The sequence below is a fragment of the Homo sapiens genome, chromosome 14 (genome assembly GCF_000001405.40).
Source record: "Homo sapiens chromosome 14, GRCh38.p14 Primary Assembly".
NCBI lineage: Eukaryota > Metazoa > Chordata > Mammalia > Primates > Hominidae > Homo > Homo sapiens.
In genome coordinates, this window is record NC_000014.9 from 38,365,583 (window position 1) to 38,391,507 (window position 25,925).

At 36.5% G+C, this 25,925-nt stretch overlaps 1 long non-coding RNA gene across 1 annotated transcript; it reads left to right on the forward strand.

Annotated features, from left to right (window-relative positions):
* The first annotated feature begins 5,635 nt into the window (after positions 1–5,635).
* On the forward strand, positions 5,636–21,052 carry LOC124903304 (uncharacterized). The gene is made up of 3 exons (XR_007064118.1): positions 5,636–5,836; positions 6,187–6,382; positions 19,779–21,052. It is a non-coding gene; the product is annotated as an uncharacterized LOC124903304 (long non-coding RNA).
* The last annotated feature ends 4,873 nt before the right edge of the window (positions 21,053–25,925 follow it).

The following is a 25,925-nucleotide window of genomic DNA, read 5'->3' on the forward strand; positions in this document are numbered from 1 at the left end:
TTATGTATAATTAACACATTCCTGTTCTCCTCTCCACTTAATTTAGAACAACATTAAATTTCCATGCAGCTCATCAAAAGCATATGTGGATTATTGGAATGTAGTTAGGAAACTCAATCAGTAGGAATTTCATCCAAAAACACCTGGAACCCAGCTTACCAGATACAAGTCTATGAAAACTTGTGAAGGAGACAGTTTAGCATGTTTCCCTCTGGTTTGGTGTGTTGGCTCTTCTCTAAGTATCTTCCTTGCCACCTCATCACCATCCTTGGCTCAGAAGGCCTCCTGGAGATGAGAAGCTTCTCTTACAGGAAGCATGTCTCCCAACACTCACACTGTAAAGTACCACTTTACCAACTAGGTGACTTGGTAAAGCTTGTATGGTATTATATAGCTGTTCTTGCAGTGGCTTCCTGAACATAATGCCTCTCCCTTGCCTTACAGGCCCATTAATAATTCTCCTGGGAGGAATTTTTGTTTAGGAGACAAGAATATCTTTTTCCTAGATGATCATTAAATATTCCTCAGTATAAAAAAAGCCATGTGTTGATAATAATAACAATCATAATATTAATGAATAATAACAATAACAGACATTCATAGGGGACTTATTTTGTTCCAAAACAGTGTCCTAAGTGCTTTCCACATTATTTTAACTTATATCATCATCATAAAACATCTTACTGGTTGAGACTGTTATTATCATCATTCTACAGACAACCTTTTGAAGAGGAGCAGAGATTGCCTTACCACTGACTAAGGAGTGTCTTCCTCCTACTTAGGGTTCGGTAATGACGTGAAAAGCATTTTTAAAAAGACAGTAAATGGAGCATATTTGGGGTATGCATTTTACTATTGCTGGTGCCGATATGTGCTACAGCAAAACCTCTGCCAAGAGAGGATAAAAGGAGTCAGCTCATAGTGGGTGGATACTAGAACTAGACAGAGGTTCAGATTGACATTGTTTAGGGGGATGGGGAGATCTAACAGGAAAAGGAGATGACTCAGAAAGAACTTCCCCAACAGTTTAGGATGCCCCCTAATGATGGGAACATTCTAAGATATCCGCTAGAGAAAAAGTCCAGGAAGGTATGGCATAGATTTCTCATTGCTGCTTCAACATTCATTTACCCTTTCTTTATTAGTAAGAGAGCTCCAATTTTATTTAGGGTGGCAATGTGCCTAGCTAAAATAATGCATTTCCCAGCTTATCTTGAGATTAAAGTGGCCACTTCACTGAGCTATGACCAGTGAGAAGTAAACAAAAGCTATTAGAATGAGAAGACAGACAGCTGGCATGTGTCACTTTGCCCCTTCCTTTTCCACACCCTACCTCCTAGAATGCAGATATGATAGATGAGGCTCCAAACACCATTTTGGACTATTGTGGTGATCCTGCAGATGGAAGCCAAATAATAAGAATGGAAGAGCAGATGGAAGTCAAATAAGAATGGAAGAGCAGAAATAGAGATGGAGGATGAGTCCCTGATGATCATGGGGTCACCATATCTTCCCCAGACTGCACATCTCCAAACTTATTTTATGTGGAATAAAATATATCTTCATAAGTTTAAGCCATTGATATATCTGACATGTTGTTATATGCAGCTGAACATGATTCTTAGCGGATCCACAAAGTTAGCTGAAGGTTTTATGGGCAGCAGAACCTTCCCTTTACAAGGAAAGAAAACTCAAAAGACCCCTCTACCAACAGACAGCAAAGGTCCTGTGGAGAGAGGCCAAATGAAGAGATCCAAGCTAGGAATTTCCCAAGCCCTTGAACAAGACAATCAACCTCCTTGCTTCTCAGTCCTCCCACTGACAAAATAAGAAAGCTAAATGTGATTATTAAGTCTCCACTCCAGGTAGAAAATTCTGCAATTTTACAATTATGAGCGAATAAGACACACCAGTGTTGCTAAAAACCTGCTGAAAGGCTATTAGAGTAAAGGTGCTATTTTCTCCTGTAGGGAGAGGTAACTTAATCAGATTTGACTGAAACCCAGTCCGAGGCTGTCTGGCCACTTGGCACAGGGTTGCTACTACTTTCGGATCAGCTTGTGATTGCCATAATCAGGGACTATTTGATTGGACAAACAAGTTCATTTCAACAGACTTAAGCATTCCTTATCCTAGTAACACAGGGATATCTTACTGAAGCAGAGAACACCAGGGCAGGAAGTCCAAACAGGAAAACTGAGAACTGGAAAACCAAAAAGTCTCTCTCCCTGTCTGTGGTCAAAGTGGTACAATCACCTTGGCCTCCTCCTCCTATTTCTCACTACTGTTAAGCTCCTTTGCTGCAGGTCTTATATGGTAGAAATATGAAAATGGCTTTCCCAGCTCTACATAATCTCTCTTTCAAGCTAGTACATGTGTTTCACTGGTTTACACTCCACGTCACTCAAATTTCTCATGGAATCTGATTGGTTCAGCTTTAATTAGCAATGACCCTGGGACAGTGTAAAGCCACAGGGTACAGGCAGGATAGGCAGGGCTTTGGGGCTGGCTCTCTAGGGAGGAGTATGACTGGGAAGGGAGAATTTGTATCTTCAGAGTAACAGTAAGGAAGTTTTTTCAGCGTTCCTCTTTAGGACAGGATGCATGTCTTTCCAATCTAAGAGCTCCATCCACAGGACTCTGCTGAGGTGGGGCAGGATGAGCGTAGATGGATTATACCAAGATATATCAAGTCGTGCCTCCTAACCTGCCTGGAGTGATACAAATGTATCACTGTTTTGAGTTTATAACATTTACTACAGAAGAGTTCTATGACACCTGTGTACGGGCATTTGGAATGATTACAGGCACTTGGAATGATTACAAATTGAAATAAAATTATTATGAAATTTTTGTTGAGACTCTAATAACATAGCATTCCTTCAGATAATTAAAGTGTTGGAAACAGGATAGAAAAACTGCTAATTTAGCCTTCCTTTTATCTGTTTCACTAGCTCTTGTTATAACCTTCTCTACTTTATGCAGAACTTGTCTGTGTAATTCAGAACTTGTTAATTACCACCTTGACCAGTTCTGAACTCTGTTATTTGTGGATCATCTTGATAATTAACTGGATGTTTCTATATTTTAATTGGATAGAATTCATCACTTTATACTATATTTACAATTGTTATGGTATGAAAGCCACCTCACTAATAGATGTTTTGCTTTTTTAAAACTATAATAATATATGGAAACTTTTAGTATTTTTATTTATTTTAGAATTTGGCTCAAAATAATAGTTTCCATGACATCTTCTATCCCACATTAATAATTATTTTACCCTCAAGAGCATAAGAGATTTAGTTTGTTGTCAAAATTTTGTTTTCTCAAAATTCAATTTCTCTTAGTCTTTAGTCTCTTAAGCATAAAAAGATGAAATATAATACATAGAGGTCACACTAAAAAATAAAATCCAGATTTAAGCTTCTTATGGTGGCTTAGACAGGTCACTTAATCCTCTGAACTTCAATTTTCATTATGTAAGGTGGTCAAAATAATATCTGAATCTACTCCATGTAATTTTTAAGTTTACTAAATGAAATATGGTTATGAAAGTAATTTTAAAAATGTAAGAATGTGCAACATTATTAGATACTATCAACAGGAAGCTTACCTATTCTTCTATGTCTTATAAGATGATAAATTGCTGTTGTCAGAATAAAAGTAGATGAAGCATAAATGAATCAGGTAACCTAGGCTTATATTGGTGAACAACACAAGAGTATAGACACCTCTCTATGATAAATATGAGTGAAACATCATGATTAGGGGTAAATTGGTTTACTATTTCATCAAGACAGCATGCCCATACAATATAACAGAACAGCTTTTAGGGGAGACACTCTATATAAAATGATGCTTGCTAATCACTCATCATTTTTTTATTATGTAAACTGCCAGACAACTGATTTGACAAAAATCTTATGAATTAGTTTAAATGCATTCCTGACGTGTAATCAATATCTCCAGCAGACTTCAAGAATGCATTGCAGTGTGTTACATCCTTATTAGACATATCAAAATGAGCCTTACCTGAAGCTAATATCATTAAATCACTCAAGAACTTAATTTTAGTTCAGTAATCGACTTCCATAAAATTGTCACTGGAAATGCTGAAGGGACAGCCCATTAGAGTATAAAATTGTAGGTTTGCTTTCTTCATCTTTCTTAAAATGCACTAAAGCAAATCTAGTTAGAAACATGAAAAATACCATGAGTATTACATACCTTCTCTAATAAATTTCATATTCTGAAATCAGAAAGTGTTGAGAGATGGTTAAGATGAGAAATTATGTAATATTTGACCCACTTTTCTTGAAATCCTTCAGTTTGTAGCTTGTTGGTATTTGCCCCTGGCTCCCTATGATGATGTTTTTTGTTTGTTTCAGCTCTCATACTACTAAAGTGTCATAATTTTCCAACACTTTAACACTTTGGTAGTCCATTTACTGCCATATTCTTTGCATTTTTGCATAGGATTTTTTGTCGATAATTTTGCTATTTAAAATGGCCCCAAACTGTAGTGTTGGAAGTGCTATCTAGTGTTCTGAAACACAAGAAAGCTGTCATGGCCTTATGGAAAATATATATTAGCTAAGCTTTGTTCAGGCATGAGTTACAGACCTATTCTCCATAAGTTCAATGTTAATGAATCAACAACATGTTAAATAAGGTGTCTTTATATCACAACACACATAAAACAAGGTTACACGGTTTTGTTTGGGGGGTTTTATGGCTTTAAATAGTGGAAGGGAGAAATGGGGAGAAGTTGGTCAAAGTGTACAAAATTTCAATTATGCAAAAATGAATTAAGCTCTAGAGATCTAATGTATAGCATGATGATCATAGTTAACAATACTATAATGCATACTTGAAACTTGCTAAGAGGTAGATCTTAAGTTTTCTCACCTAAAGAATAAAAGAAAGAAAATGGTAACAGGGTTATATATTGATTGATTAATAAAAATTTTGTGACCAGAGGGCTCGCAGGAACCTAGCTCCATATTTCCTCTAAGACCAATTATCCAGTATTTGCTAAATCAGTGTTCAAAGAAACATTATAGAACATAAGTATCACAAATAAAAATTATGTCTAGAGAATATATATATACATACACAAATATATGTATACAGAAAATATATATACACATATGTATGTATACAGTTTTAAATGTTACTATTTGGTTAAAAAAAAGTCAATAATGGGCCAGGCGTAGTGGTTCAAGTCTGTAATCCCAGCATTTTGGGAGGCCGAGGTGAGTGGATCACCTGAGGTCAGGAGTTTGAGACCAGCCTGGCAAAAATGGCAAAACCCCATCTCTATTAAAAATACAAAAATATCCAGGTGTGGTGCCATGTGTCTGTAATTCCAGCTACTAGGGAGGCTGAGGCAGGAAAATAGCTTGAACCTGGGAGGCAGAGGTTGCAGTGAGCTGAGATCATGCCACTGCACTTGAGCCTAGGCGACAGAGTGGGACTCTGTCTCAAAAAAAAAAAAAAAAGTCAATAATGTTATGAACATCCTAACAAATTTCTGTCTTAAATATCACATCCATGAAAATGTCAAAGTTTGAGAACTCACCTTTATTCATTCAAAAATTATATGTTGATTATCTTTTATTCTCTACTAGGTTTTGCTGTGGGAATAATAGTGAAGAAGATGGTAACAGTACCTATTTTTTTTGGAACACATATTTTATGGGAAGACACAGTACCCATCCCCCAAAAAAAGACAAATAAATATATGCATAAAATGACTTTACATGGAATTTTGTTACAAAAAGACCAAAGAAGACACTAAGATGAAGAATGAGAATGGGGGAACATAATCTAGGTAGTTTTGTCAAGATTAGATCTCTATAGGGAGGTGACATTTAAGATTGACACCCAAAAGGATAGAAGGAATTAGTCACATGACATGTAGGGAGAACATTCCATTTAGAGGGGGAGCTTAGGCCGCGACCATGAGGTGGCAATGTGCTTGGCTCATTTAAAGGACTGAAAAATGAGCAGTGTGACTACAAGATGGTGGGTTAGGAACAAAGTAGAAGTGGAGACATAAATCGGGGCCAAAGGATGCAGAAATTATACTCTGCTCTAGTGTATGGATTTTATTTCATTGCTATGAGAAGCCACAGAAGGATTTTAAGCAAAGCGTTGACATGATTCCATTTGAATTTTAAGGTCACTTTTGCTCCTTGTGGAGAGTGGATTGAAGAGGAGCATTGAACTGACGAGACCCAGTGAAAATTCTGTTCCAATAATGTGGATGTATGATCATGATGATTTAATAAACGTGAAGCAAAGAGGTCAAAGCCAAGAAATCACTGGAGTTAAAACCACCAGGGATGCTACCAAATTGGATGTAGGGTGAGGAAAAGTAAGTTTTCAAGGGTGGCCCTATATTTCTGCCTTGAGTAACTGAATAAATAGTGGTATCATTTACTGAGATAGGGAAATCTTGGCAGGTACCTCTGTAAGTTTCAGTTTTCTCACCTATAAAATGGAAAGAATAATGTCCATTTCACAGGGTTGTTCTGAGGATTAAGTAAGGTGTTCCATGTAAAACATTTATAGTGTTTAACACATTAGCTATTACTATTAGATATGGTGTAGAAAAGATGCTGCCATGTTTTCATAAGCAATATTTCTCAAGTAGTTAAACATCCACCTCGATCTGTTATTATAGGGAATGATGGTGAGCTTAAGGTGACTATAATGCTATTTGGCCAAGGGATATTGAAATCTTGACTTGGTTGCATAATACTGCCTTCCTATGAAGTCAACAAATTAAAATAACAAAAATAATACCTTGTTTACATCTGGAATTTTGGCCCCAAAGCCCAATATAATGTAAACTTGACCATGATTATAGACTTTTTACTTTCCCAAGTAAGCCTAGACTATTATACCTTCTAACTAAAGCAGACTCTCATTGATATAACCTGTGACACCTCCCCTTGAATGAAGTTTGTATCAAAGTTTGGGTTATGTGATTAGTAGCCACAATGAATCTCTTTGAAAACTCCACCTGCTGTAGTGAAGCACAATTAGGGCCTTGGACTCCTCTTAGGGATATCAAAGGGGCTGGAGCAAGGTGGTACAGAAAGGAAGATTCCTTCAGTTCCCCTGAGAGGACAAGAGGTACACTTTAAGTTGACTTAGAAAATGCTTCTTCTCGTAGTTCAAGCTAAAATGGGCTTATCTTATTCCCTGATCAAATGAACATACATCCTAAAATTATTAGGGAGAGATATGACATACCATTTAAGTTGGCTGCAGTAAAAACCACTTCCCTTAGAGAACATAAGTAAGTTGAGGGCATTGTGAGTTTGGCACCTTTAAGAAACCCCTAGCAATGGCTCAATAAGCCTGGAGGCTACTACAGTTGTGCTCATTCTTCCAACAAGCATTTATTGAGCACTTGTTTATTAGGTTCTTCCCATGATAATCATTACTTTGAGTCTTCATAATTTTCATCATAAAGATAAAACTAGACAATATTACTCCTTCCTGGTAAGGGTGGGTGTGTCTTTTTTTTTAAATCAAGCAAGTTTGTTTTAATAAAATACAGCTAAATCTATGAAATTTTGAGAAAAGTGTAACAGAAGAGACAGTCCTTTTTCCCCCCTCTCTAAAAAACGTTTTTGTTTGTCTAATCAAGTCAGCATAAAATTATTTGCCACTGGCCGGGCGCGGTGGCTCACGCCTGTAATCCCAGCACTTTGGGAGGCCGAGGCAGGTGGATCATGAGGTCAGGAGATCGAGACCATCCTGGCTAACAAGGTGAAACCCCGTCTCTACTAAAAATACAAAAAATTAGCCGGGCGCGGTGGTGGGCGCCTGTAGTCCCAGCTACTCGGGAGGCTGAGGCAGGAGAATGGCGTGAACCCGGGAAGCGGAGCTTGCAGTGAGCCGAGATTGCGCCACTGCAGTCCGCAGTCCGGCCTGGGCGACAGAGCGAGACTCCGTCTCAAAAAAAAAAAAAAAAAATTATTTGCCACTGAGGCTAAAGCTTTTGAATGAATAAATTTTTTGCTGCCTGCATCTGGTTAACATGTCACTTCCTGATAAGGAAGCCACTTTTTTACTGCAGTTGCACACTATTTTATTGTTTATTCATTAGATATTTTTGAAATTATTCCTGTTTTAAGACAGATTTCATAATACAAATAATATATTTGTAAAAGCCTCTTGTCATATTAAGGCACCACCTCAAATACACACAGGCACACTTACATACATACACACACACACATGCATGCACACACATATGTACATACACATATATTTAAACTTGGACTGTCATCTTGTCACTCCAGAATGGTAGCTAGTCAACAGAAGAAACGTACTGAAAATAGAAAAGAAGTCTGAAAATATAGGCCTCTCCTATGTAGCTAGCTGATTTCAGCTGCTTATGACTGCAGAGTATAAGTTAATCGAATCAATGCTCACAATACAAGTTAGTCATCAGAAAGGACCAGAAACTGATTATGTATGAATAAGAGTACAGAAAACAATGTATCTGGACATACACTATAACTCTGGGATATTTCTATTCTAAGAACCAATTATTGCAAAGTCAATGAGTCCCCTACTATTTTAATGAGTTCAGTTGATATTCATCAGAACTTAAAATACATAGTAATAGTAATGATTAATTGTTACGGTTATTGAGGCATAAGTGTATAATAAACCAGAACTCACTTAGGTGCCATCTGCGATAGTACAAACTTCAGTAGAACATTTAGTACAACATAGACTAATTTTAGACTCATTTAGATTACAGACATATTCATTATAGCAAACTAATTTGTCCCAAGTGACTGAAAAATAATCAACATCATTTAAGAATTAATATATAGAATATACTGTTACACATGTATTTATCAATCTAAAGTATGATTCTAAGAATTTGAATGTAATAAAACATAACTATTTAAAATTTCATGCAAATTAATTGAGTCTTTGCTATTTCCTAGAACTTTCTAATTGTTTCAAGGTTATTCTTTCAAACATCAATTATCTATATACCATACAGCCACAAAGGTCTACACTAGTTTTGTGATTATCAGATAAATGGTTCTTTTTTTTGTATTCTGGGACAACCCAATCCCACAACCTAGACCTTGAATACTCTTCTGTTAGCCCTATGGTATGGCACTGCTATTTCCAATCTCCCTGAAATTTTACAAGTTCATTTACCAGCTGTCTCAGAGTTCTAGAACAGCTTTTTCCTCATGGTAGAACAGCTTAGATCTAGTATTTTTACCCACACAAAAAGGGACAAAATGAAAACATTACAAGTTACATTAAAATGTATACGCTACACTGTAAAATAACCAGGAATACAATTTCCACCCAATTAAGTAGCACAGAATACATTCTAATGACTGCATTTATGGAAGATACCAGCAACACTTAGTAAACAAACTGCATGTTAATTCACCAGGTGACTGGGAACACCAGGGTGATAAAGTTTCTTTAAGTGCACTGAATATGAAAACAAACAAAAAACAAAAGTGGGCAGCAAACAAAGCCTGTATTCTTTGTAATGAACCTTATAATTACCAAAAAGGCTAATTGTTAATGGAGTTTAAACAGTCTGCTATCTAAAATCCTTATGGAGTGAAATCCAGTTAAGTTTTGTTAAGACAATAATGCTATGTAAATCAAGCAGAAATAAAAAAGAATAACATTATAACATTTTCTACCTCCTGGGAGGAAAACACAATGTGCTGACAGTGGGCAAAGAGGTGGTTTAATTGAGTGGGGGAAGAAAGCAACAAACAGTAATTGAGTCAACCATCCAGCATTCTGATTGTTTGAAACCAGTTCCATCTAGTCTAATTAAAGGAGTAATGATAATTAAAAAATGTATTTTGAAATGGTCCCTCCATCTCCCCTGCTGTAATAAAATGTCATGGTATTTATTTAAAAAGGCAAACCTAGGCATATAACTTCATATTGAGGGACATTTTCTTGTCAAAGTGTTCTCATGTAATAGCTTCATCCCATAAAATAATTAAACAAAAATGAGCATCAGGCAAGGTAGTCAGCTGGTCACATAGGTGCTTATTTCAGCATTCGTGCAGAAATAATGATGCCAGCAGCATGCCTAACAACGTAGCCTTCCCTGAAATGGACCCCTCTCAGTGATAGTGAGCTACATATGAGTTGAATGTGCCATAAAAAACTTCTTAAACATATAGTTAGGTGTGTTTATCATTAGATCAGCAATCTGTTGGTTGAACTGGATGTTACTTTTGTGTATAGTGCATTTAGAATACTAGGTATCTTCACATAGTGAACAAATACATTATGATAGCCAAGATGCACTTACTCTGTCTTCCACCAAAGATGAAATATGAAAGGGAAAATAACACTGTGGTTGATTCAGGGCTACCACTGCAACAACAATCTGAAAAAAAAGGACCCCGCAAACTCAAATCTAGTTTCCCTTCTCTCAATCTCCTTCCCTAAAGAAGAAGAGATCTCACTAAGAGGGTAGGAGGCCAGACTGGTCTCATTATAAAGAGATCAAGAAGAAGGTTATGGGACTGGAGGAGCAGGAGAGAAATACTCCTGGGGGTTGGGGTTTTCACCTGCACGGAGCTCTAAGACTCCTCCTGTGCTCAAGAAAATTGAGGAATGGAAGGATCTAGGATGAAAAGTGCTAGTATAGGTTTTGACTTGGCTCTTTCTTAATTGCCAGTAAGAAATGAGATACTTTTATAATTATCTGTTGATCTGAGTCTCTTCAAACAAAATTCCACCTAGAATTGCCTTGATAATTCATTTGGATTATTTATGTCATGGCTCCATTATCTGAGGCCATGATCTATAGAACTAATTCTAAAAATAAGAAAAGGCTATATACCTTTTGAAGTATGTGATAGACTATAAAGTCAAGTAGACAAGATGGCAACATTTGAAAAAAATCACTAACATTACCAAACAGGATGAAAAAAGCTTAAAATGTTATGCTATCTTTTAAAAAATGATTCAATAACACAATTGAGTGAAGAATAAGTGGGATTGTATTGTTTTCTGATTGTAGTGGTAATATTCTTAAGAACGTAATTAAGAGGCATATAATTATTTGGTTTAAGTCCCAAATAAACCAAATTATTTGGTTTAAGCTTTGGAGCTACATGTAATCAAATATGCAAAAGCATCTTCCAGATTAAGAGAACTGTGTGTTCCTATTTATTTTTACCATTGTTTAGGAATGGCCATGAGTGGTACCTTTATGTTGATGATTTGAATTTTAAATTTGTTTAGAAAGTCAATTCAAAGATTTTTGGAAACACGCAGAGATCTTATACATTTTGTGCTTTCTCAACAGAACGATGACAATCAATTTTTTCACTCTCCTATGGCATTGATCATGAATTGCAATTTCCTTTTATCAGATTTTTATATTCATATGAAGATTCAAAGGAAATTCCTTAGATATTTTAGATATGGCTGAATATTTCTCATTTTTTAATCTTCTCAAGGGGACCATGACAATTCATTTATCTCACAAAATGAATCATCTGAATGAATCTGTCACTGTTAAAGTACCATTTCCTTTTAACAAAAAAGAAGTACCTACTTATGTTTAAAAGTATCACTATTTAGCTAGGAGTTACCTGTACTAAAAGATGTTTAAGTATTTGGATAGAAGTAGACAAAGAAAGATGCGATGTCTTCAGACACCAACTGGCCAGAGTTGGGCCAAACTTCACAGGTTAAGGGCACAGTCCACCTCAAGGCCACTCTCACTTCAGATTTCAGCTGCAAATTAAGAGAATCCCAGGCTATTCTCATCTCACTTCTGACCAGCTGGTTCAAATTTGGGGGTTCCCATTGCCCTCTCAGTTTTGATAATTTACTAGAATGACCTATAGACCACAGGGAAGTGCTATGCTTATTACAGTTTTATTATAGCAAAAGGATACAAATAAGAGGCAGGCAAAGGAAGAGAAGCATCGAGTACAGTGGGAAGGTTCCAAACATGCAGTTCACATTGTTTTTTCCCCACGAGAGGTCCTGTTATCCTCCTGCCACAGGAATGTGCAGCCATACCCAGAGTATGGCCAACAATGGAAACCCACCTGAACTTTGGTGTCCAGGGTTTTTATTGGGGTTTCATTATGTACGCATGACTGATTGAATCATTGACTTTGAGGTTGAACTCTTTTTTTTTTTTTTTTTTTTTTAGATGGAGTTTCGCTCTTGTTGCCCAGGCTGGAGTGCAATGGTGCAATCTCGGCTCACCACAACCTCCGCCTCCCAGGTTCAAGCAATTCTCCTGCCTCAGCCTCCTGAGTAGCTGGAATTACAGGCATGAACCACCACACCCGGCTAACTTTTTTGTATTTTTAGCAGAGACAGGGTTTCTCCATGTTGGTCAGGCTGGTCTCGAACTTCCAACCTCAAGTGATCCGCCCACCTTGGCCTCCCAAAGTGCTGGGATTACAGGCATGAGCCACTGTGCCCAGCCAGAGGTTGAACTCAATCTCTAGCTTCCCTTGCCTCCCTGGAGACCAGGCTAATATCATGTGGCTGAATACTCTAACTCTCTAATCACATAACTGGCCTTTCTGGCACAGCCAGGCCCCAACCTGATCATCTTGTTAACATAAACTATCAAGGGTCTCACATTGAATAACAAAGAAATATCTATTACTCAGGAAATTCCACAGGTTTAGAAGTTACCTCTTGGGAATGAGGGACAAAGGCCAGCCAAACTCCCCATTACACAAAAGCCTTGTGAGATCCCATGTCTTACTAAATTATTTCACAATAAATTTTGGACATTTGGGGGAAGTAGTAATGTAGTATTAAAGCAAACCTATAATTGGCCCTCATCTATTGGCTTGAACTCAAATTAGGCAAGAAACAGTTAATAGTTTTCAGAAATAAGTACAAACCTTTCTATTAACTCTCACTATAAAATTATTACTTCCTAGGAATTTCATTTCAAATAATGATTAACATATTATATATTTACTAAGGGAATATCTATATCACCAACTAGATGGTACATCACAGTAATGATAAGAACCAGGTTTTAAATTTAGTTCTAGATATAGATTCCAAACCTGTACATAGATCCCAGATCTGTCATTCATTTCCAAAATAAACAGTTTTGCATGATCAGATAAAATAGTGAAATCCTTAAATATATTATATTTAGTAAACAAATTCTATTATTATTATTGGTATTTATACATGTGAGGTGAAATCTACCCCTTAACCCTTTTTAGTATATGTACATTGTGGTTTGTTTTATTGGTATTAGACATCAAAAGGAGGCATTTTATCTAAGATAATGTTTCTATTCATTTATTCAACATATTTATTGAACACATATCACATGCCAGTTATTGGGGATGTTCCAAACACAAGCAATGTGTTAGTTAACACAAGGTACAAAAGTCCTTTCCCTCAATGAACTTATATTCAAGTGAGAAAAGATAGGTAATTAGCAAGAGTTTTTAAAACTATAATATTTGTAATGACAAATATATGAAAAAACAATCTAAGAAGATGAAGTTAAAGACAGTTTTGTAAAAGTTGTAAATTCAAATAGGGTTCCCAAAGAAACTGAAATTTGAGAGTGGTGAAAGGGAGAAACATGGAGTTTTCTAGTAGAAAAACATTCCAGGCAGAGGAAACAGCAAGTGAATGGCTCTGAGGCAGGAGCCTGCCTGGTGTGTTCAAAAAGCAGCTAACAAGGTCGATGTTGCCCAAGTGAAGTGATTTGAAAGGGAGAAGAAGTAGGAAATGAGGTCAGATAAGTAATGTAGGGTATGAGGGTGTGCAAATGACATGGTACCTAGTAGGTCATTGTAAGTTTGGTTGGTTCATACTTTGAGAAACTATTAAAGATTTTGGGCAGAGGAGTGACATATATTTTAAAAGGATTCTGGTTGTCATGTTCAGAACAAACCGAAGGGGAGAAAGCAAAGAACGAGGACGACTATTTAAGATGCTATTGAAATAAGCCAAGTGAGAGAAGAGAGTAGTTTGGACTGTGGTGGTTTTGGGGGTTGGGGGGGATAAAAGGTGGTTGTTTTCCAGATATATTTTGAAGGCAGACGTATCAGGATTGAAAAAGAACACTCAAGGATAATATCAAGACTTTCAGACTGAGGAACAGAAAGGATGGAGTTGCAATTAACTGAGATGGAAAGACTGTGAGAGCAGCAGGCTTTGGGGAAAGGGAGAGAAGGAGGAAGGTAAAGCAGCCCAAACTCTAATCTAGACTTCCTAAATCCAAACCTTGTGTTCTTTACTACAGCAAGTCAGCACACTATTTTTAGTTTATTGAACACCTGTACTCTTGCAAGGACTATGCTTTACATAATTTGCCTTATTAAATTCTTTTAAGAAGCCTATGATGATGAAAAAAACAAAAAGGTAAACACTTACACAATACTTATCATGTGTCCTGAGTGTTATATCTCTCTCTCTCACACACACACACACACACACACTCATATAATCTTCACAAGAATCATAGGTACTATTATTATCCATATTTTACCAACGGGAAAAGAGAGGTGGAGTAACTTGCCATTGGTTACACAGCAAGTAAATGGGCAGAGGAGAGATTTGAACCTAGGTAAGACAGCTCCTACATCTGTTATGTTGTCATCTGAGAGAGATGTAGGGAGAAGACTAAGGATCAGAGGGCTTGTCACCTCCTGGGGATTACATGGTAAGAACAGGCATTTTAACTTTTGTTTTTACTGCAGACCTTTGACCAATGGATTATAGAGAATAGCACCTTTCAATTTCAGGTGGGGGAGCCAGAGAAGTAATAATAGAGTTAGGGACAGTGGTCTATTTCTGGGAACTCTGCTGTGGTCACTAAAGTAATCTGAGACAGAGAGAGAGAGAGAGTGTGTGTGTGTTTAGTTTTACTGTATCAGTTTTCCAGGGCTTCTATAACAGAGTACCACAGACTAGGTAACTTAAACCACAAAAAAAGAATATTTTATCACAGTTCCACAGGCTAGAAATCCAAGATTAAAGTGTCAGCAGGGTTGGCTTCTCCTAAGGATTCTTTCCTTAGACTATAGTTGGCCACCTTCTCCCTGTGTCTTCACATGATCTTCCTTCTGTCCCTGTGTCTGAATCTCTTCTTCTTATAAGGGTACCAGTCATTTTGGGTTAGGAACCATTGTAATGACCTCATTTTACTTTATTATTTCTTTTAAAACCCTGTCTCTAAATGCAGTCACATTTTGGAGAACTCAGGGGTAAAACTTCAATACATGAATAGTGGGTGACACAATTTAGCTTGTAACAGTTACCTAGAATTGTTATTTAAAATCTCCTTTCCAACTTAAAATTCATATGGAACCAAAAAAAAGCCTGTATAGCCCAGACAATCCTAAGCAAAAAGAACAAAGCTGGAAGCATCACGCTACCTAACTTCAAACCATACTACAAGGCTACAGTAACCAAAACAGCATGGTAATGGTATGAAAACAGACACATAGACCAATGGAACAGAACAGAGATCTTGGAAATAAGACCACACATCTACAACCATCTGATCTTCAACAAACCTGACAAAAACAAGCAATGGGGAAAGGATTCTCTGTTTAATAAATGGTGCTGGGAAAACTGGCTAGCCATATGCAGAATATTGAAACTGGATCACTTCCTTACATCTTTTACGAAAATTAACTCAAGATGAATTAAAGACTTAAATGTAAAACCCAAAACTATAAAAACCCTAGAAGAAAATCTAGGCAATACCATTCAGGACATAGGCATGGGTAAAGGTTTCATGACAAAAACAGCAATAGCATTTGCAACAAAAGCAAAAATCGACAATTGGGATCTAATTAAACTAAAGAGCTTCTGCACAGCAAAAGAAACTATCATCAGAGTGAACAGACAACCTACAGAATGGGGGAAAATGTTTGCAATCTATCCATCTGACAAAGGGCTAATATCCAGAATCTACAAGGTACTTAAACAAATTTATAAGAAGAAAAACAAACAACCCCATTAAAAAGTGGTCAAAGGACATGAACAGATACTTCTTAAAAGAAGACACTTATGCAGCCAACAAACATATGAAAAAAAGCTTAACATCACTGATCATTAGAGAAATGCAAATCAAAACCGCAATGAGATACCATCTCATGCCAGTCAGAATGGCGATTATTAAAAAGTCAAGAAACAACAGATGCTGGTGAGGCTGTGGAGAAACAGGAATGCTTTTACACTGTTGGTGGGAAAGTAAATTAGTTAAACCATTGTGTAAGACAGTGTGGTGATTCCTCAAGGATCTAGAACCAAAAATACCATTTGACCCAGCAATCCCATTACTGGGTATATACCCAAAGGAATGTAAATTATTCTATTATAATAATTTACATGGGCACACATATGTTCATTGCAGCACTATTTGCAATAGCAAAGACATGGAATCAACCCAAATGCCCATCAATGATAGAGTAGATAAAGAAAATGTGGCACTTATACACCATGGAATACTATGCAGCCATACAAAGGAAAGAGATCATGTCCTTTGCAGGGACATGGATGGAGCTGTAAGTCATTATCCTCAGCAAACTAACACAGGAATAGAAAACCAAACACTGCCTGTCCTCGCTTATAAGTGGAAGCTGAGCAATGAGAAGACGTGGACACAGGGAGGGGAACAATACACACTGCGGCCTGTCAGAGAACAGGGGGAGGGAGGGCATCAGGATAAATAGCTAATGCATACAGGGTTTAATACCTAGGTGATGGGTTGATAGGTGCAGCAAACCACCATGGCACACATTTCCCTATGTAACAAACCTGCACATCCTGTGTATCCTAGAACTTAAAATAAAATTAAATTTAAAAATAAATAAAAATAAAAATCTCCTTTCTGTAAAAGTTGGAAAACCTTGTTCCCATTGAACATCACAGGTAGATTCTAAACTTATATATGATGACACTTGGCTGTCTTTTACTCTGATGACTTGCATTCCTCCACTTATACTCTGTGTCTCAGACATAAGAAGAGAAAAAGCAGGAAGCAACAGCCCCTGTTTTGCTCTTGGACATTGCAATGGGTGTGAGGGTGGAAAAAGTTTAGTCAGAAGATAGCGAAATAGTTCAGTCAGCAAGTCAGGAAAACTTCCATCATCCACCCTCTATAACATGATGGAAGAGGGGAAAAAAGTGCTTTTAAAACCATAGAGGTAGCTCCTTTTATGTTTTTGAAGCTAAGACTAATTTGATAGACATCTATCAATGTTGAGCTTTTATGTCTTTAGGTTGGTTTCATAAGTTTTTTGAAATTGAATACTTCAATTTTGTCTGTAAAAATATATTGAGAATTATTTGGAGTGCCTATTGATGGAAAGATACCAGATATTTTTATTAAGTATCTATACATTAATGTATTCCCCTGAGATTGTATTTTATCTTGTGAAATGCAAAGCTGGTTAAACCCCCACAAAAATAATCTAGATTTTTTCCATAAATGAAATGAGTACACTTTTAGCTAAAGGGGAAACAGACATTGTATAATTTCCAGGAATTCTATAGAAAGAGTAGACTTACAATAGTTTACTAAAACAACAATGTGAAAGAGACATGCAAATTGCACTCAAATCCTTTCATGCTGAATAGTAACTGGTGACAGTAACCCTGGAGATAGAGACACTGGGTCAATCTGAATAGTGGAAGGGCTATGAATGTGTAGGAAGATGTGTCTAACACATAGCTGAAAGTAGTACAATAGGGGAGTGGCATCATAATTGTAAGGTCATATTTATTGTAATAATAAAAATTGTAAGGTCCTTAAATTCCATTCTGAGTAGGAGGCATTAGATGAAGGCACCTTGTGATCCACATGATTCCAGTATCTAATTCTGTATTTGCAACCAAAGTTTATAATGGGTTATATGGGTTTTCTGTTTGCAAAGCTTTTAGCTGATTCCTATCAGCGACCTAGTCCTGGGTAACCCGCTGCCTCAAGACATTTAGAAGGCCTTGAAGACTGTGTCTCTTCTAACCCTCACCTAATTTCACAGACCTAGAGGAAATGCAGATCCTTAGTTTACAATAAGAACCAAGATTAAGGTCGTCTGAGAAGAGCTCAACCTTCTGGAGATTTTGGTAGTAGAATTAAATGCTTTGGTTTTAACTATAAAAGATAAACTTTTGAGTTCTAGAATTTATTAGATTGTCTACTCCAAGATAAGAACAATCACAATAGCTACTTATATTTTCACAACATTTTATGGCTTAAGAAGCTTTTTTAAATTCATTATTTTATTTAATCAAATTTTTACAACATAGAGGGGAAAGCCCAGGATTCAGGGTTGTTCACATGTGTGAGCCTCGTTTCCTCACCCGTGCTAGGGGTAATCACAGGAAGTCTACTTATCTCAAGGGTCAGTTGTGAATGTCAAAGAATACAGTGTTATATAAAAACAATTTTAATTCCATTGTTAGATGTTATTTTATAATAGATTCTATTAAACCACAACCTCTGAATTAATTATCTTGCACTTTTTGATGGTGGTTGATGCTGAGAATGGCTTCTTCGCTCTTACATTGCAACTGTCAAAGCCTTTAAAAACAATGACTTAATTATTTTATTACATTGACAGAATAAAATTCGTACAGTCATTTTATCTATGAAGACTGAGAATTTATTTAATGATTACCTTGGAATATATCTATTCATTAGTGGTGGAAAAAGATGAAACGTTGCCAGCAGACAAAGATAGTTATTTCTTCTTTCTAGAGATGTGAAAATAACAATTACTACTTACTGAGTCCCTACTTAGTGCCAAACACTGCTCTAGGTGTTTTGTATATTTCATCTTTTGATCCTTACACAATGGCATGTGTGTTACTGCTCATTGCCACTTAGCAGAGATTTACTCAATTAGGACATGATGAAGCTGGGATTTGAGCCCAGAGATGTTCAACTTTAAAGACACTTGCTCTTTCTAATCAATATTTTATTACATAAACATTAACTTGCTCAATTATAAAGTGTTCTTGTATCTGAATGAATGGAGGTCTGGTAGGACTAAATGGAATATATATATATCTAGGCATGTTGGAATGGCTGTTAGAAAGCAATGTTAGAACGGACACCTCTGCATGGGCTGCAATTATATTTGACTTTCTCTCAACTTCTTTATTCAGTCCTTCCCCTCTCATGTGCTTCCTAAGAGCTCTCTCATACTAATATATCAAGAAGAGGACTAAAGAGACTATTCATCAAAATACGTCTTAGGGAAACCATTATTTGTGTTAGGAAGAAATACTTTGAGAAGTTATTAGAGGATAAAGCTCCAAGGGTGGGAAACTGTTGCAAACATGGATTGCTAACATACCATGCATAAGTCAAAAAGAGGAAATTTGCCAACTTCCACATTATGTAGTCCTCTGACATTCATAGTACTCAGTAATAAGAAGAAATGAAGTAGCAGTATATGCTACAACATTGGTGTTTCTTAAAAACATTAGGCTAAGTGAAAGAAGCCAGTCACAACAGACCCCAGAAAGCCAATCTATAAAGATGGAAAATACATTAGTGGTTTCCTGGGGCTGGAGTGAGAACAGGGAATGATTGCAAATGGTCACCAGGGATCTTTTTGGAATAGTATAAATGTTTTAAAATTGGACTTTGGAAATGGTCACATGACTCTGTAAGCTTACACAACCATTGGATATTCACTTAAAAATGGGTGAATTGTATAGTGTGCAAATTATGCCTCAATAAATATGTTTTTTTTTTTAAAAAGGTGCTGCACAGTAGTCGTGTTTGCAATGCTACCACTCATGGAAAACAGCAGAGTACCTCTCGAAGCACACCCAAGAAATCGACAGCAGAGGTTGCCTCTGAGGAGGGAAATGGGGCACAGGAGCTGAGAAGAGGAGGAGAGTTCCTCTGAATGTATAATGTTTGGTGCTCTTTGAATTTTACACTATGTGCATGTAACCACTATTCAAAAATAACATTAAACCCTTTACATATTTTAGTTACTAGGAGATACTTGGCTGCTGTTCATAGTGAGGAGGTCATTAATGGTAATGGGGTCAGAAGAAACGACGGTCTAAGGGGAAAATGCTGCATTATCTATTTTCAGAAATGATCATTTTGATCTATTATTCAGAATAATATTGATTTGAACAGCAATACCCTATAACCAAGGGACCTGAAGGGAACAGTATGCAGAGCCTAAGATAAAGAAACCTGTATATTTTGTTGTGGTGAGAGTGCTGAAAGTGGAGAGTGGAAAGTCTGAGCCTTTACGTTTTTGATGCCAGAGTAATCATTCAGAAGGCTTTTGAAGAGTAACGTATTGACTACACTCTGTTACATTTCAGTCATTTTGCTATCATCCTTTTTTCCAGTACATGCCATAGAATGTAGCAATTCAAGAGCAAACTGTTGGAAAACATGCTCAACTCATCTTCCTCAGCTTGTTATTTCTTCAAATTATCTAATTCACTGTGCTTTTTGGATTTCTTTTTGCTATAGATGGTTTTCCATACAAGTGAAATTGCTAAATAATTGTCAAGCTTCTGCTCCACTTAGAAAATATTCACCAGTTATAACAGATTACATCCTAGTACTCTTAATTCCATAATAATGTATATCTTTGGAATCTTGACGATTTTCAACTCTTAATCCATAGCTCAAGTCTTCTGTCTGATGTTGAATGCAGTGATCTTCCAAGCAAATGACAGTATTTGAACCTTCCCTTAAAATGGTAGTAATAAAATTCCAAAGTACTTGTTAAGTGAAGGCATATTATAAATTACTGATATTTGGAAATTTCTAAGAGTATGTCACTTAGAAATGAATATGTAGTGGTTAATGTGACTGTCTTCTATTACTGAGAATATGTGAATCAAAGCAGGATGCTAAGATTTCCTTTCTTTGTTATGAATACCTGTTTATACTAATGTTCCATTATGACAAACTCTCCTCACTGGCTTGGAAGAGTATGATATCATAATCTGAGAAAATGTTAAATGATGCTTTCTAAATTAAATGCTTCATTAAACCTCAGAGATCCACTCTAAATTTTATTTCCCACATGATAATTTTTAGTTAAGGCTAAAGATGAAAGGTAAAGTGGACAGATAATGTTTGCATAGGTAACCGAGGGGAAGCAATATGAGCATAGCTAGGCTTAGCCCCTAAAAACATTGTGATGCACAGTGAGTTAGTTAAGAGTATGGTCTCTGACTTAGACAACCTGAGTTTAAATTCAGTTAGGTTGGCCACTAACTATTAGGTTGGTGCAAAAGTAATTGTGGTTTTTGCCATTGAAAGTAACAGTAAAAGCCATGATTACTTTTGCACCAACCAAATAGTTTGTGTAATTAGATTGGGCAGCTTACTAAAACGCTTTAAAATTGAATTTCTTATATGTTTAATGGGTATAATAGTATCTACTGCAAAGGGTTATTATCTATATGCAGTATATAGTAAACCACTCATTATTGTTCAAAGTCATGGTTTTGCTGGAAGCTTTGAAATTTATAGCAAGAGGATAATAAATTTACCCACAATCCAGGCTGCTTTCATTCAAACATGATCAAGACTTCAAATGCTATCCAGAAAGCCAAAGAGATGCTAGAGAGATGGCTCAAGATTCAGCTGAATGATGATAAAAGAACCCAGAATTACAGGGGAAGTTAAGAAAAAATGACTTTGGAATTTTAAAATTAACTTGAAAGTTAGTTAACCTTCTGAGCCTGTTTTCCATTATAAAATGGATACAATAACACAGCATGTTGTGAGGCTTCAGTAAGTCTATGAATATGATGTAGATAGCACAGCACTCAGCACAGTCTGGGTGCTCAATAAATGAGAGGAACGTTTACTAGGAAGACTATCATAATGATTGTTTATGTGCTTTACAGTATGGAAGACAAGAACATAAGTGTCACATAAAGTAAATTGTGTATAAGCTGTTTCTTTTTTTTTTTTTTTAAAGGTGGTGTTTCTGAAACTTTAAAAAGTAAATTAAGAGAGAGTGAGGCAAAGGTGCACAGGGGCCAGGTCACCATGAGGAAAGGGGATGTCAAGCAATAGAACAGCAATTGAACGTCTGCCCACATGGATTCACCGAGCCCCCTTGGGGTGCCAAGAAAAGAGAAAGAAGGAGAGAATAAATACACTGATTTCCAGATGGTAGAGTGGGTGGTAAAGAGAAGGAAAATAGAGGAGTTAGAGATAAACAACAGCTGTAGTAAAAGAAAAAAGAAAAAGCAGCATGACGATGCTAGGTGAGCTTAGTCAGAAGACAGTATTCTGTCTGGGACTAAAATCCTCTGATTAGGAACAAGTAAAGGGGAGTATTTACAGAATTTGTGCTGGTAAAGAGATTAGCGACAGTGAATGGAGACAGAAACAGCCTCCTAATGTGGCACAGCTTAGGCATTTGACTGAGGCTTGAGAATAGTGGAAGAGATTAGTCAAAAGGCAAGTCAATTGAGTCCAGGGAAGCTTTGAAGCACTAATTAAAAACATACACAGAGTAAGTACCATTATCAGGAAGAAAACAACACAAATAAGAACACACAAAAAAAACTGGAGATGTGGCCTAAGGAACTCTCAGAGAAGAGAAATTGGATGTATTCTTAGGGAAAAAAAAACAAAGGCTGATGGGGCAGAAGAGACAAATTTTTATGATAAAAGAATACTAAATAACTATGTAGATACTCTCCATTCCAGGAGGAGGATCACTATTCCTAGCCCTTCTTCTACAAGAGTGAGCTGTAATTAGTGACTTGCTTCCATAGAATAGGGTAAGAGAAATCTGACAAACGCTATCCTAACCAAGTAATGAAGGTTAACATCACCAGTGACTTCACATGGATATCACGTACCCCTTGACATAATGTGGTGAGATAGGCACTTTGGCTCTATGGGATACTTTCCAAGAACTCATAACCTAATTCTAATTATGAGAAAAACATCAGACACATCCAGAGTTGGGGAAATTCTACAAGATACCTAGTCAATACTCTTCAAGACTGTTAAGGTCACGAAAAACACAGAAAGACTAAGAAATGGTCACAGACCAGAAGAGACTGGAGGGGCATGAAAATTAAAAGTAATGTGATACATTAGACTGGATCCTGAAACAGAGAGAAGAGATTGGTGGAGTAACTGGTGAAATCCAAAAGTGTGGAGTTAGTTAACAGTACTGTGCCAAAGTTGATTTCTTAGTTTTGATGACTGTACCATGGTAATGTAAGATGCTAACAATAGGGAAAAGGAGCAAAGGGTGTCTATTAGGGGACTTGCTGTACTATCTCTACATTGTTTCTATAAATCTAAAATTATTCAAATTTAAAGCAGCTTTTCAAAAAAGATGATAGCATGTTAAAAGGACACAGGAGCCAACTGAAATAGCTCCTCGTGGATCAATGGTGATAGAATTGGATTATAACCCAAGGAATAAAATAAATATCCATGATTTTATATTAATATGAGTAAATAAATAAATTAATTATTGGGGAAGAGGACAACTGTTTCTTACAGAAGAATTCCAATTAATAAATGCAGAAGAAATGAAGGAGATAGAAAACACCATTAGAACACTAGAGTAGTAATCACTACAGCCATGATCAACCAATAAATGCTAAAATTAGTGAGAGAAAGTTTATGGAGCAACAAGATAGCTTCCAATTACCTTACTGAAAATATTTATTAATTACAAAAGGGAAAGCAGTAACTTTTCATGGAGAAGCCTGGCAGACACCATCTTAAACAAGAGATCAAGGTTAACATCACTTCATTTTATAAGATATGAGCAAACATAAGACAAATCCAAAATGCAAGACATTTTACAAACCCCTGAACATTAGTTTTCAAAAGTGTCAAGGTCGAAAGACAAGGAAAGACAGAGAAACTGTCACAGATCAAAAGCAGCTAAGGAGACATGACAACTAAATACAATATAGGATCCTGGATTGATTACTGGAACAGAATAAGGACCCAAGTGAACTAAGTTGATAGTTTAGTTAATAGTATTGTACCAATGTTAGTTTCTAGGTTTTATGAGTATATCACTGTATGGCAATATGTTAACATTAAGCGAAATTGGAGAAATGAAACATTGCAAGTCTTTGTACTGTCTCTGCAACTTTTCTGTAAGTCTAAAATTATTTCAAAATTTAGAATTAGAAAACATATGAAACACACACACACACACACACACACACATACACATAAACAAAGGCCAAACAAAGAAAGCTCACTTGAGGTTTTGTGCCAAAGTACTACCAGATGCTCCACTTCCACTTCAGAATTCTGACTAATAGCATATGTTCACAAACAACGGAGATAACTGGTTGATCCATATGCTTTACTCCAAGACAACTTTGTTAGTATGTCTAGAGAACACAGGGGGTCTCCCATGACCCTCACTAAACCTAGGCTCTGGGAATCACATCTCCCACACTTCAGTGCCCAATCCCATCAGACAAGCTAGAGAATGACACGCCTCCCACCACACTGGGGAAAATCTGTCCTCTTTTGTTCACCAAGAGGGAAAAGGTAAAGAAGCAGCAGTAACATATGATTTGAAAGCAACAAGTCCAAGGAGATGTTTAAAAGGTGAACTGAGACATAATAACATTCTTTAAGAGTTTATTTGCACAAACAGCAATTCAGGCATCTGGCAGCTCCAAACCAGAAGTAGCTTGGGAGCTCCATAAAGGAAACATATAGATGAATAGGAAAGTAAAGCAAAGGAAATATTTGATGGGTTACCTACACACAGTTGGCTTATTTGGTCTATCCCATTGGAAAGTCTCTAGTTGTATCATTATAAGTTAGTTGGCTACTTTTGATTGGTTGAGACTAAGTTCTGTTGTTCTTCAAGATAGACATTTACAAGAAATAGCTCAAGTTAAGTTTTGCTTATGTTTGGAAATCAAGCAAGGTTAAGGTCATGTATGAAGCTTAACTGACTTTGTCTGCTCAGTGATTCGTCAAGCCTGGTCTCTATTTTCATTTACTTTAACAAGCATGAGAGGAACAAGCTGAGGCCCCTGCTTTCAGTGTTGTCACAGCCCCCTGTTACCAGGGCCAGTGGATGCCAAGCTCTCCCTCATTCCTTGTCTCATCAATCAGATGGATTGCTCCTTTACCCAGGGTGAGACTGCATGAAATAAGTATCCATAGGTGTTTTTCCAATATGATCGTCTCTTGATGTGTGCATTGAAAATCCTTTCATAGAAACATAAGAATGAAGGGAATAAGGGTTTTGTCTAAAATTTAATAAAACAAAAACTTTCTCAAAGGATGAATCATGAAAATATTTATTTTTTGCTTTACTCTCCATGGTATGGTTAAAAGATATGCTATATTTTTCAGAAAATACAGGATCGAGGATAAAAAGGAGATTAGGGAAAATGAAACTTATAAAACTTTATACTTCCCAAAGGAAATATATAAAGGGAAACTTGTTTAAGAATATGGCAACATCTCTGCATTTAATAAGATCGCTAATGTTGATTGGGGAATTCCAGCCTATTTATAGAAATAAATGATAGGTTGGTAAGTAATTTAAAAAACTGCTCTATAAATACAAATATGTAGAACCTGGCCATACTAATACAATACTAACTGACAACACTGAGTGTAGAATATCCCCTTAGAAATGAGCAACATTTAAAATATGAGAGATAATGAAGGATGGGTGAGTTTTCATCTACTTTCAAGATGTCAGAGGCCTCTGGGGTAGCTTATAAAAGCTGGAGCTTTATAAAGGTATAAAAAGCAAAATAGATGTTCCCAATGTAGATATAATTAATGTATAATTAAGAGAAAAAGTTGAGAAGTTAAAGCAGAGAGTAAAGATGCATCAGCAAATGGGTGGCACCAAATATAGACATGATCAGAATCACAAACACAGGAAAAT